Source organism: Homo sapiens, chromosome 12, assembly GCF_000001405.40.
Source record: "Homo sapiens chromosome 12, GRCh38.p14 Primary Assembly".
NCBI lineage: Eukaryota > Metazoa > Chordata > Mammalia > Primates > Hominidae > Homo > Homo sapiens.
This window is the reverse complement of record NC_000012.12, coordinates 39970772-39985064: the sequence shown is the minus strand read 5'-3', so window position 1 is coordinate 39985064 and position 14293 is coordinate 39970772. Positions and strand designations below refer to the sequence as shown.

At 39.3% G+C, this 14293-nt stretch overlaps 1 protein-coding gene across 8 annotated transcripts in view, besides 2 other annotated features; it reads left to right on the top strand.

Moving 5' to 3' along the window:
• SLC2A13 (solute carrier family 2 member 13) overlaps window positions 1-14293 on the top strand; it is a 351057-nt gene that overhangs the window by 121017 nt on the left and 215747 nt on the right. The gene's annotated exons all lie outside the window — the stretch shown is intronic.
• Window positions 5917-6473: an enhancer, noted in NCBI's record as "H3K4me1 hESC enhancer chr12:40372394-40372950 (GRCh37/hg19 assembly coordinates)". NCBI's record gives its function as "activates a minimal SCP1, AML or CMV promoter by ChIP-STARR-seq in primed H9 embryonic stem cells {active_cell/tissue: H9 hESC(primed)}" and the evidence as "EXISTENCE:reporter gene assay evidence [ECO:0000049][PMID:30033119]".
• Window positions 6474-7031: an enhancer, noted in NCBI's record as "H3K4me1 hESC enhancer chr12:40371836-40372393 (GRCh37/hg19 assembly coordinates)". NCBI's record gives its function as "activates a minimal SCP1, AML or CMV promoter by ChIP-STARR-seq in primed H9 embryonic stem cells {active_cell/tissue: H9 hESC(primed)}" and the evidence as "EXISTENCE:reporter gene assay evidence [ECO:0000049][PMID:30033119]".

Here is a 14293-nt window from a genome sequence, read left to right as displayed (position 1 = left end):
TCCCTCCCCCATATGTGTGAGTAACTTAAGTATAGGTAACAGAAGCAAACTGGTGGGTTTGGTATTCTAGTTATGATATTCTCGCTTTTATGGGGCATAAAAATCATTGTCAGATTCTTCCTTCTTGGTGATTTCCCCAGTGGCCTCCCATAGATTGCTTCTTCGTCTTTGTAAAGATATATGACAGCAAATCTCTACCAGTTAATGAGCACGTGAAAAGCTATCTATCTAAGGGCTGTGTGTTTTGCTACTTACAAAGCCGTAAAGATGTTGACAAAAATATCTGAATCCCTGTAGGATATTCTCCATTTTTCATCAAGACGGACATTAGCCTCTTAAAAAAATTAACTGAGAGAAACTGTTGACTACCTTTTAAGTAACATCATCAAAGAAGTAAATGGCTTTGATTTTTTTTAAAAAGCAGTTTTTAGAAATTATGAATGGAATATATTCACTGGATATTAGTAATCCAGAACTTCTGCATTAAACCTTCATAATTAATTGTAGTAATGCTTTTCTAAAAATTTACTTTGTCTATTGTATATTACACAATATTGTAATCTAGTTTTGGTACCAGGAATTTACACTTAAATTGGGTAAAAACAAAAGTTAAATGAAAAACATTTAACTTTTTAAAGTTATTTTTATTTCCGTCTCTTTTATTAAATTCTTTGTTTATAGAAGATTGCACTTACCGTTGCTCTGTTCTCATATTTTATAAGCACTTTTTTTTTTATTATACTTTAAGTTTTAGGGTACATGTGCACATTGTGCAGGTTAGTTACATATGTATACATGTGCTGTGCTGGTGCACTGCACCCACTAACTCGTCATCTAGCATTAGGTATATCTCCCAATGCTATCCCTCCCCCCTGCCCCCACCCCACCACAGTCCCCAGATTGTGATATTCCCCTTCCTGTGTCCATGTGATCTCATTGTTCAGTTCCCACCTATGAGTGAGAATATGTGGTGTTTGGTTTTTTCTTCTTGCGATAGTTTACTGAGAATGATGGTTTCCAATTTCATCCATGTCCCTACAAAGGACATGAACTCATCCTTTTTTATGGCTGCATAGTATTCCATGGTGTATATGTGCCACATTTTCTTAATCCAGTCTATGATTGTTGGACATTTGGGTTGGTTCCAAGTCTTTGCTATTGTGAATAATGCCGCAATAAACATACGTGTGCATGTGTCTTTATAGCAGCATGATTTATAGTCATTTGGGTATATACCCAGTAATGGGATTGCTGGGTCAAATGGTATTTCTAGTTCTAGATCCCTGAGGAATCGCCACACTGACTTCCACAATGGTTGAACTAGTTTACAGTCCCACCAACAGTGTAAAAGTGTTCCTATTTCTCCACATCCTCTCCAGCACCTGTTGTTTCCTGACTTTTTAATGATTGCCATTCTAACTGGTGTGAGATGATATCTCATAGTGGTTTTGATTTGCATTTCTCTGATGGCCAGTGATGATGAGCATTTTTTCATGTGTTTTTTGGCTGCATAAATGTCTTCTTTTGAGAAGTGTCTGTTCATGTCCTTTGCCCACTTTTTGATGGGGTTGTTTCTTTTTTTCTTGTAAATTTGTTTGAGTTCATTGTAGATTCTGGATATTAGCCCTTTGTCAGATGAGTAGGTTGCGAAAATTTTCTCCCATGTTGTAGGTTGTCTGTTCACTCTGATGGTAGTTTCTTTTGCTGTGCAGAAGCTCTTTAGTTTAATTAGATCCCATTTGTCAATTTTGGCTTTTGTTGCCATTGCTTTTGGTGTTTTGGACATGAAGTCCTTGCCCACGCCTATGTCCTGAATGGTAATGCCTAGGTTTTCTTCTAGGGTTTTTATGGTTTTAGGTCTAATGTTTAAATCTTTAATCCATCTTGAATTGAGTTTTGTATAAGGTGTAAGGAAGGGATCCAGTTTCAGCTTTCTACATATGGCTAGCCAGTTTTCCCAGCACCATTTATTAAATAGGGGATCCTTTCCCCATTGCTTGTTTTTCTCAGGTTTGTCAAAGATCAGATAGTTGTAGGTATGCGGCGTTATTTCTGAGGGCTCTGTTCTGTTCCATTGATCTATATCTCTGTTTTGGTACCAGTACCATGCTGTTTTGGTTACTGTAGTCTTGTAGTATAGTTTGAAGTCAGGTAGTGTGATGCCTCCAGCTTTGTTCTTTTGGCTTAGGATTGACTTGGCAATGCGGGCTCTTTTTTGGTTCCATATGAACTTTAAAGTAGTTTTTTCCAATTCTGTGAAGAAAGTCATTGGTAGCTTGATGGGGATGGCACTGAATCTGTAAATTACCTTGGGCAGTATGGCCATTTTCACGATATTGATTCTTCCTACCCATGAGCATGGAATGTTCTTCCATTTGTTTGTATCCTCTTTTATTTCCTTGAGCAGTGGTTTGTAGTTCTCCTTGAAGAGGTGCTTCACATCCCTTGTAAGTTGGATTCCTAGGTATTTTATTCTCTTTGAAGCAGTTGTGAATGGGAGTTCACTCATGATTTGGCTCTCTGTTTGTCTGTTGTTGGTGTATAAGAATGCTTGTGATTTTTGTACTTTGATTTTGTATCCTGAGACTTTGCTGAAGTTGCTTATCAGCTTAAGGAGATTTTGGGCTGAGACGATGGGGTTTTCTAGGTAAACAATCATGTCGTCTGCAAACAGGGACAATTTGACTTCCTCTTTTCCTAATTGAATACCCTTTATTTCCTTCTCCTGCCTGATTGCCCTGGCCAGAACTTCCAACACTATGTTGAATAGGAGTGGTGAGAGAGGGCATCCCTGTCTTGTGCCAGTTTTCAAAGGGAATGCTTCCAGTTTTTGCCCATTCAGTATGATATTGGCTGTGGGTTTGTCATAGATAGCTCTTATTATTTTGAAATACGTCCCATCAATACCTAATTTATTGAGAGTTTTTAGCATGAAGGGTTGTTGAATTTTGTCAAAGGCTTTTTCTGCATCTATTGAGATAATCATGTGGTTTTTGTCTTTGGCTCTGTTTATATGCTGGATTACATTTATTGATTTGCGTATATTGAACCAGCCTTGCATCCCAGGGATGAAGCCCACTTGATCATGGTGGATAAGCTTTTTGATGTGCTGCTGGATTCGGTTTGCCAGTATTTTATTGAGGATTTTTGCATCAATGTTCATCAAAGATATTGGTCTAAAATTCTCTTTTTTGGTTGTGTCTCTGCCCGGCTTTGGTATCAGAATGATGCTGGCCTCATAAAATGAGTTAGGGAGGATTCCCTCTTTTTCTATTGATTGGAATAGTTTCAGAAGGAATGGTACCAGTTCCTCCTTGTACCTCTGGTAGAATTCGGCTGTGAATCCATCTGGTCCTGGACTCTTTTTGGTGGGTAAGCTATTGATTATTGCCACAATTTCAGCTCCTGTTATTGGTGTATTCAGAGATTCAACTTCTTCCTGGTTTAGTCTTGGGAGAGTGTATGTGTCGAGGAATGTATCCATTTCTTCTAGATTTTCTAGTTTATTTGCGTAGAGGTGTTTGTAGTATTCTCTGATGGTAGTTTGTATTTCTGTGGGATCGGTGGTGATATCCCCTTTATCATTTTTTATTGTGTCCATTTGATTCTTCTCTCTTTTTTTCTTTATTAGTCTTGCTAGCGGTCTATCAATTTTGTTGATCCTTTCAAAAAACCAGCTCCTGGATTCATTGATTTTTTGAAGGGTTTTTGTGTGTCTCTATTTCCTTCAGTTCTGCTCTGATTTTAGTTATTTCTTGCCTTCTGCTAGCTTTTGAATGTGTTTGCTCTTGCTTTTCTAGTTCTTTTCATTGTGATGTTAGGGTGTCAATTTTGGATCTTTCCTGCTTTCTCTTGTGGGCATTTAGTGCTATAAATTTCCCTCTACACACTGCTTTGAATGCATCCCAGAGATTCTGATATGTTGTGTCTTTGTTCTCGTTGGTTTCAAAGAACATCTTTATTTCTGCCTTCATTTCGTTATGTACCCAGTAGTCATTCAGGAGCAGGCTGTTCAGTTTCCATGTAGTTGAGCGGCTTTGAGTGAGATTCTTAATCCTGAGTTCTAGTTTGATTGCACTGTGGTCTGAGAGATAGTTTGTTATAATTTCTGTTCTTTTACATTTGCTGAGGAGAGCTTTCCTTCCAACTATGTGGTCAATTTTGGAATAGGTGTGGTGTGGTGCTGAAAAAAATGTATATTCTGTTGATTTGGGGTGGAGAGTTCTGTAGATGTCTGTTAGGTCCGCTTGGTGCAGAGCTGAGTTCAATTCCTGGGTATCCTTGTTGACTTTCTGTCTCGTTGATCTGTCTAATGTTGATAGTGGGGTGTTAAAGTCTCCCATTATTATTGTGTGGGAGTCTAAGTCTCTTTGTAGGTCACTCAGGACTTGCTTTATGAATCTGGGTGCTCCTGTATTGGGTGCATATATATTTAGGATAGTTAGCTCCTCTTGTTGAATTGATCCCTTTACCATTATGTAATGGCCTTCTTTGTCTCTTTTGATCTTTGTTGGTTTAAAGTCTGCTTTATCAGAGACTAGGATTGCAACCCCTGCCTTTTTTTGTTTTCCATTTGCTTGGTAGATCTTCCTCCATCCTTTTATTTTGAGCCTATGTGTGTCTCTGCACATGAGATGGGTTTCCTGAATACAGCACACTGATGGGTCTTGACTCTTTATCCAACTTGCCAGTCTGTGTCTTTTAATTGGAGAATATAGTCCATTTACATTTAAAGTTAATATTGTTATGTGTGAATTTGATCCTGTCATTATGATGTTAACTGGTGATTTTGCTTGTTAGTTGATGCAGTTTCTTCCTAGTCTCGATGGTCTTTACATTTTGGCATGATTTTGCAGTGGCTGGTACTGGTTGTTCCTTTCCATGTTTAGCGCTTCCTTCAGGAGCTCTTTTAGGGCAGGCCTGGTGGTGACAAAATCTCTCAGCATTTGCTTGTCTATAAAGTATTTTATTTCTCCTTCACTTATGAAGCTTTGTTTGGCTGGATATGAAATTCTGGGTTGAAAATTCTTTTCTTTAAGAATGTTGAATATTGGCCCTCACTCTCTTCTGGCTTGTAGGGTTTCTGCCGAGAGATCCGCTGTTAGTCTGATGGGCTTCCCTTTGAGGGTAACCCGACCTTTCTCTCTGGCTGCCCTTAACATTTTTTCCTTCATTTCAACTTTGGTGAATCTGACAATTATGTGTCTTGGAGTTGCTCTTCTCGAGGAGTATCTTTGTGGCATTCTCTGTATTTCCTGAATCTGAACGTTGGCCTGCCTTGCTAGATTGGGGAAGTTCTCCTGGATAATATCCTGCAGAGTGTTTTCCAACTTGGTTCCATTCTCCGCATCACTTTCAGGTACACCAATCAGACGTAGATTTGGTCTTTTCACATAGTCCCATATTTCTTGGAGGCTTTGCTCATTTCTTTTTATTCTTTTTTCTCTAAACTTCCCTTCTCGCTTCATTTCATTCATTTCATCTTCCGTTGCTGATACCCTTTCTTCCAGTTGATCGCATCGGCTCCTGAGGCTTCTGCATTCTTCACGTAGTTCTCGAGCCTTGGCTTTCAGCTCCATCAGCTCCTTTAAGCACTTCTCTGTATTGGTTATTCTAGTTATACATTCTTATAAATTTTTTTCAAAGTTTTCAACTTCTTTGCCTTTGGTTTGAATGTCCTCCCGTAGCTCAGAGTAATTTGATCGTCTGAAGCCTTCTTCTCTCAGCTCATCAAAATCATTCTCCATCCAGCTTTGTTCCGTTGCTGGTGAGGAACTGCGTTCCTTTGGAGGAGGAGAGGCGCTCTGCGTTTTAGAGTTTCCAGTTTTTCTGTTCTGTTTTTTCCCCATCTGTGTGGTTTTATCTACTTTTGGTCTTTGATGATGGTGATGTACAGATGGGTTTTTGGTGTGGATGTCCTTTCTGTTTGTTAGTTTCCCTTCTAACAGACAGGACCCTCAGCTGCAGGTCTGTTGGAATACCCTGCCATGTGAGGTGTCAGTGTGCCGCTGCTGGGGGGTGCCTCCCAGTTAGGCTGCTCGGGGGTCAGGGGTCAGGGACCCACTTGAGGAGGCAGTCTGCCCGTTCTCAGATCTCCAGCTGCGTGCTGGGAGAACCACTGCTCTCTTCAAAGCTGTCAGACAGGGACATTTAAGTCTGCAGAGGTTACTGCTGTCTTTTTGTTTGTCTGTGCCCTGCCCCCAGAGGTGGAGCCTACAGAGGCAGGCAGGCCTCCTTGAGCTGTGGTGGGCTCCACCCAGTTCGAGCTTCCAGGCTGCTTTGTTTACCTAAGCAAGCCTGGGCAATGGCGGGCGCCTCTCCCCCAGCCTTGCTGCCGCCTTGCAGTTTGATCTCAGACTGCTGTGCTAGCAATCCGCGAGATTCCGTGGGCGTAGGACCCTCCGAGCCAGGTGTGGGATATTGTCGCGTGGTGCGCCGTTTTTTAAGCCAGTCTGAAAAGCGCCATATTCGGGTGGGAGTGACCCGATTTTCCAGGTGCATCCGTCACCCCTTTCTTTGACTCCGAAAGGGAACTCCCTGACCCCTTGCGCTTCCCAGGTGAGGCAATGCCTCGCCCTGCTTCGGCTCGCGCACGGTGCGCGCACCCACTGGCCTGCGCCCACTGTCTGGCACTCCCCAGTGTGATGAACTCGGTACCTCAGATGTAAATGCAGAAATCACCCGTCTTCTGCATCGCTTACGCTGGGAGCTGTAGACTGGAGCTGTTCCTATTCGGCCATCTTGGCTCGAGAGTCAAGCACTTTGTTAAAGAGATAGTGTGACTCTAAAGTACAAGTTGGTTTCTTCACCAATTAAGAGTTCTTCCATTTGGGGGAGATGGACTGTATTTTTGTGATGCTGCCATTTGTTGCTCAGAAAACTTCTATTTTTATTAGAATTGCCTTGAGAGCCAATTTTTGAGCCATAAAACGTTTCATTCACTCACTCAACAAAAATGTATTGAAGGCTTACTTCTATCAGTTCTCTCTAGATGCCAGATATACTGCAGTGAGAAAGCTACATGGTTACTGAGCTCACAGAGCTTACAGTGTGGTGGGGGAGACATTAATGAAAACACACACGTGAAATACACAGGCCTCTGAAGAAAAATTATCATAAAGATAATAATTTAGATAGGAGGGAAATGGGCATTTAGGGGAGGCATCTCTGGTAATGCCAGAGAAAGGGTGAAGACCATGAGCCAAGGCCCTGGATTGAGCCACAACTTGGCACAACTCATTAATTTATAGGAATCTCTTCTTTTTGATCTCAAATGCTTTCACTCAACTGAATAAGCCATTTTAGCAATAATGCTTGCCTCTGGATTACTGCCAAAAGCTACCTTGATTAGCAGAGAGTGAAGATTTGTGACCACTGAGGATATTCGGAGTGTGTCACTGGCTCTGAAGATATTTCTAAAAGATTTTCAGTTATATTTTGAGCTGTAGCAACATCAAGGAAATAATTTTGTAACCTCCCTCCCAAGATGACTTTGAAGGAAACGTATTTATAAATTCTGATGTGTTTTTTCAGCCACATTATTTAATAACCGTTCTTGATGTAATGAGAAAAAGACTGTGCCTCTTTTCAGAGAAGCTCAGTCTACTGCTTTCTTTTCCTTCTTGAGAAAGTGAACACTGAGACAAAATAATCTCTGCAACAACGAAGGAAGTTCTGTTTGACTCAGTTGCTAATTCAATGGCTGAAAGAGATCAGAGACACAGTTTGATATGTGGGAACATTAGAAACTTTGAGGGGTTTGGGGTTAGATAAACATTGACCTTACCACTCACTAGCTCCTTGATCTTTGAAAAGTTACTGAGCCTCTTTGAGCCTTTGTTTGCTAATCTGCCCAATGGGATTAATACTACAAACCTCTTAGGGAGCACTGCAGATTAATCTATATAGAGCTTGAATCTAGTAGGAACTGAATAAACATGAGCTCATGCCTACCTTCCTCTTTCCAAACCCCTCATCCTTTTATCTGTTACCATAGATGTCAAACTCTATGAAATCCAGTCATTTAGCTTAAAGTACGTATGTTGTTTTCATGCTTTCCTTCCTGATGTTGTTTAAAGTTAATTTTTAGGAAAACATTTTAATGCATTGCATAAGATGGCAATGCTAGGGTTAGGGCTAAAGAAAGACAACATCCTTGAGTTTTTCTACAGGTAGATTTCATTTTTTATCTTAATGATAAGGCCAGAAAGTGCCAAGAGATGTTAAGTGTCCAGAAAGTTGGAAGTTTTGGTTTGGGTTAGGTAGAAGGTATACAATGAAAACATCTTATATAAAATATTTAATAAAGTCAGTTTGGTTCTCCACACACACAAAAATGACATACTGATGATTAAAAAGTGAAACATGGCCAGGGGCAGCAGTTTCACTCCTGTAATCCAAGCTACTTGGGAGGCTGAAGCAGGAAGGTTGCTTGAGGTCAGGTGTTCAAGACCAACCTGAGCAACATAGTGAGACCCCCCCAGTCTTTAAAAAAAAAAGTGAAGATTTAAAAATTAAAACATTGTTACAAGTGGGAAATACCAGAGGTAACATTAATGAAAATTAACTATTCTAATTTCAAATGAATCGTGGAATTAATAAATGTGTTCATATATGGTCTGCTTCAGCTAGAATATATCTCTCTTGTTTGCAACTCTGCGGTCATGAAGTCAACCCTTATGGCACTTATCATTGTCTACTTTGGTAAGTGCCACGTACCATTGTGTTTCTTGACATCAAGGACCATGTCTAATTTATCTTGGAGCCTACCATACAGAGTCCTGGTGCTGATGGTGAATTGCATTTGACAGTAACTAAAAAGATGGTGGGATATGGAGAGGTTAAGTAACTTGCCTGTTCTAATTTTGGGTGTTGTTTATGGGGGCAGCTATGTCCTTGAACTTGCTGTAATGCTGTCATAATGGGTACCCCAGGTGCTTATCTAAGGGTGGGCTGTCTGTTTTCAGCCCCATTAGAAGACAAAAAGATGAACTCCTGAGCAGAGCTGACACCATGTGACAATTGTGCCTCCTCTGTGTTTCACGTATCTGATTGTGATGTCACTGTTTTGATTAGCAGTTATTATATTTGGAAACTTAGCTTAGAATGGAGCACTCCTAGTCTGCTGTTTGTTAGTGCACATAGCTATTTAGAATCTTCAACTTTAAGAATCCGGTTTGATGCTTATTTACAACTGAAGATTCATAAGCAAATATACGTTATTGAACATTTGTATCCGTTGGCTCCTTAGAGTTGCTCCATCCATTTGTGATGCATGTTAATAGAGAGTGAAATAAAAATACTTGCATTTAAAGAGCTACATCTGTTTTGTGCATGAGTCATCTGAAGTTTGGACAGCTATTCTGATCAAATAAATAAATCTTCCTCCAGACAGGTGGCTTACTTGAATACGTCTAACTTATTTTCAGTTCCTTCTGGGAAATCTTACATTTAGCTGCAGTCTCTAAACTGTTTTATCTGCCAAGGATAAGCTGGCAATGGGAAGCTTTAATTAGAATTAATGGGGCTTGCCATGGAGAAATTTAGAAAATGTCTACTACCTTTTAGTGGCACAAATATGGCAAAAATTTAGGCATTGTCTAAGTCATCACTGAACAAACCTTATTACACGAACATATTTTTATGAGAATTCAGAATGTCTGAACTTAGAGTGTCTGAATTTAGATTGTCTTAAAAGAATGTACGTAGTTAAAATATTTAGTTGGTCTACTATTAGGGAAGATAAATTTTTTTCACTTCCCTCCTTTGGCATTATTTTCTTCCTATTCCATAGCAAATTAGCAAACTAAAATGTAAGTCAGGTGGTGGGGAGTGCTTTTAAAATTAGGATTTAACAGAAAGTAAGTATACATTTTGTCTGAGTGAAATTTGTCCTTCATATCTATCTGTTGCATGTCTGTTTGTCTAAACTGAAGGTATTTGTTAAAAGCATCACCATAATGAATAGTAATTCAGCCCTTTCCAGGCCTAGCAAAAGCATTTGCTCATGTAACATTAAAACATTGAAAAGAAAGAATGCATGCCTTTTGATGCTAATATGAACTTTAAGATTTCTGAATGGAAAAGTAAAATTTAGCTATAGTTTTATAATACATAAAAGTGCCTGAACACAAAACACTTGATTAATTCAAAATTTAAGAAATGTTGGCAATAGAAAAGAATTTTGCCTGTAAGTTTTCTGTGAAAAATTATGTAAAAGGCTTACAGGAAAATGTAAGGTGTAAACATGTAAGGGGAGCAGGAGAATTATATTGCAAAATTCACAGTGTAAAACTTCTCAATTAGTTTACAGGCAATGGTATTCAGTGATATTCATCATTGCCCCATGCCATTTGTCTAGAATTGTGTAAATTGCTACATAATACGATATTTTAATAATTTGAACGTATCTTATGATTTTGTAGTTTTGCATTTAGAGTCTCAATGAAGTGCTTCAAAAGTGGTAGAAGATACTACAGGGACTAAGAAAACTTTTATAAACACTGTGATGCTTTAACAAAAACTCAGTCATGTACCTGTAAATATCAGAACCCAGTAAGGGGAGCTAGCAGCTGTTGAGTGTATGCCTTGTCCAGGCAGTATGCATGCATCATCTTGGTTTGCGTCATCATCCTGTTTTATAAATGAGGACACCAAAAACAGGCAGGATGGTTAGCAAGAACATGGGTTGAGGTCAGATATGGCCCCAACCCTCTCTGTGCTGTTCATATGTAAGTGGGTGACTTTGGATAAGCTGTTGAACTGGGATTGCAGATGAATACACTGGTCAAGAGGAAGAGTTTTGGTTTACGATTCTTGACTAAGTTCTAGCTGTAGTAGTTATCAGTTCTGGGATCTGCATAAACTTCATCTGTAAAACAGGAATGATAACACTAACTCATATATTTGTTGTGAGAATTAAAGTATATAAAGAAGTTAACATGGTTTGTGGAAAACAGCAAGTGCTGATACATTGTCAGTGATAAAGATAATGCTGCTACTGCTGCTGCTGGTAGGGTTGGTAGGGTAGAACTCTTACAGAAACTGAGGCATGTCTAATTCCAGAGCACATGCTTTTCCCACTGACTCTGGTCCTGGAAAAGATCAGACAGAATGGTATGGAAATGTGCCTTGAATCACAAGCAGTTGTCGTTTTTGAAGTAGAAAAACTCTTTCCAAAAATATACAAATTATGGACCACTCTGCAGATGGAAATTAGAACCAAATGCATGGAAATTAGAGCCTACTAAGAGAGAAAAACAAGACAACAAATACATCCATACCTTGACCTCTGATAGCAGTAAGTGCTCTGAAGAAATGCAGCCTAAGTGATTAGATTTAACAGACAGGTGTGAGGGAAAGATGACTCTAGTTGCTTAAGCACCTGGGTGAATGGGGGATTTATTTCATGAAGGGGGGAATGCTGAAGGAGAAGTGAGTAGCCGAGGAATCAAGAGTATTGTCTTGGCTAGTACAATTTGAGATACCAGTTGTATATTTCAATGCAGATGTGGAATAAGAAGTCAGATGTGTGACAGTGGAGCTCAGAGGACAGGTTGGCATGACAGTGTTGATTTGGGAGTCATGAGATTGGAAAACATCCATGAGGAACCCCTCTATGGGGAGAAGAGAAGGAATCTGGGCTCTGGGGCATTCCAAAGTTTGGATATCAGGAAGCAAAGCTGAATCCAGAAAAAGAGACTGAACAGAGGCTTCCAATGATACAGAAGTAAAACCAAAAGAAAGTGGTTTCTGAAAGCCAGTGAAGGGAGTGTTTCAAGAAGGAGAAAGCCACTGTTTCCAATGCTGCGCTTAGTTTAGGTGAGATAGCAGAGACTTGATCATTGAATCTGCTTAGTAGAGGTAGTTGGAGAGCTTGACAAGAACAATTTCAGTGAATTTGTGGAGAGGAAAGCCTGCTTAGAATGGAGTTGAGGAGACAGTAGAGGCAAGAAAGTGGAAGTAAAAGGTATAGAGACATTGATTGATTGATTGATTGAGATGGAGTTTTGCTCTTGTTGCCCGGGCTGGAGTGCAATGGTGTGATCTCGGCTCACTGCAGACTCCACCTGCCAGGTTCAAGCAATTCTCCTGCCTCAGCCTCCTGAGTAGCTGGGATTACAGGCATGCACCACCACGCCCAGCTAATTTTGTATTTTTAGTAGAGACGGGGTTTCTCCATGTTGGTCAGGCTGGTCTCGAACTCCCGACCTCAGGTGATCCACCTGCCTTGGCCTCCCAAAGTGCTGGGATTACAGGTGTGAGCCACTATGCCCAGCCTGGTGTAGAGACTTTTAATTAGCTTTTCTATAAATCAGGGCAGGAGAATAAGATATGAACTGGAGAATGATATGGGTTTTTTAAAAGGTTGATTTTTCAGTTTTATTTTACTATGAATGATACTACATCAATGTTCTCTGCTGATGAAGAAGATCTAATAGATAGGGTAACTGACGTTGGGATTGAGGGAGAGATAATTATAGGAGCAATGTTCTCCATAGGCTTAAAGAGTATGATCAACATCCAACATAGAGAGGTTGATCTTTTCACATTTTGGATGGCAGATGATATGGGCCAAGATGCAGGGAGATTGCAGATTTGGTGGGAAGATGAATTAGTTCTCTTCTAATTGCTTCTGTTTCCTCAGTGAAATAAGAACTGAGGTCATTAGCAAGTGCAGTATGATGGATGAGTCATGTTAATTAACCATCATCTGCATAAACTGCATTCTTGGGCAGCAGGCTCTTGGGAGATCATTTCGCAATAGAATTTTGCTTTGTGGGCTATGTTCCCTGCCCTACTTTGGCCATAAGTGCTGTTCCTGTGTTCCTGCCATGTGATTCTTAGAGATAACAATTGACCATCAGTGAAGAGCCTACTTTATACCTTCATTTTTTCACTGGTAACTCTGAAAGAGTATATTTTATCAGATGGTAGTCTAAGAAGTAAAGCAGCAAAATCAATTTATATATATATATATAAATATAAATTCTATATATATAATTTTTATATATTATATATAATTTATATATATATTTATATAAAAAAAAATATATATATATATATATTTTTTTTTTTTTTTCTGGAGACACTCTTGCTCCATCCCCTTATCTCCCAGGCTGGAGTGCAGTGGCGTGATCTCAGCTCACTGCAACCTCCGCCTCCTGGGCTCAAGCGATTCTTTTGCCTCAGCCTCCTGAGTAGCTGGGATTACAGGCGCAAACCAACATGCCCATCTAATATTTGTATTTTTAATAGAGACAGGGTTTTGCCATGTTGGCCAGGCTGGTCTTGAACTCCTGACCTCAGGTGATCTGCCCACCTCGGCCTCCCAAAGTGCTGGGATTATAGGCATGAGCCACTGTTCCCAGCCACATTTTTATTTTTTCTTGTAGGCATATATGTTGTTCCAAACCCCTAACATAAACTATATGGATTGTTATAGAGTGTGTCAGAAGGTAATGGGAGGAAGCAACTGCACTATGAATTTACTCCCTGTCATAAAGAAATTATATTATAGAGCCTTTCATCCACCCAGAGATGTTGACATGACTCAGGCTGATTCTGAAATGATGGAAACAGGTTATGGTTAATAAACTCTTGTACTTTTTGCCAGAAAAGGTAATATTTCAAATTCTTTTCTAATGTTAGACCTTAATAGAAATAAATGCTTATTAGGTGAAAAACATCTAAAGGAAATATTTTTAAAAACCAAATTATATTTTTATTTAGTTCAGTAATCATTCATTGAGCACTTATAGTAAGCTAAACTATGGGAATAAACAGTTGCATAATTACGAATGATTCAATGACTTTGATCTTGAATTTGTTGCATACCTGCAGCTGTTCTACATTGTTTATTGGGTTGTATTTTGTCTTATTCCCGAAATGATTTTAGGAAACTTATGGAAGATACATTCAAAAATGTAAATAAATATAAATTATAAAATAGGAACTAAATAAAAATAAAAACATAATAATATGGGAAGTTAAGAATTAGAAGAGAAAATCAACACTAGGGGAAGAGCTAAAATATATATTAGTGACCGTAAAGGCTTAAACACTTGGTAAAGATTTGTTGCATATTTGATTCTGAGCTTCTTATCAGCCATACCGGAAAGAAAAATGCAGTCCGTTACATGATTCTTATTGTTCACAAGGGGGAAAAAAGGTCACTCAAGGGAAAAAATACTTGCACTGGCATCTATATAGTTTTTTACATGAGTTTTCCTATAGGGCATACCCAATGTGAATGGTGAAAAGTATTGATAGCCAATGTAATAATGCAACTTAC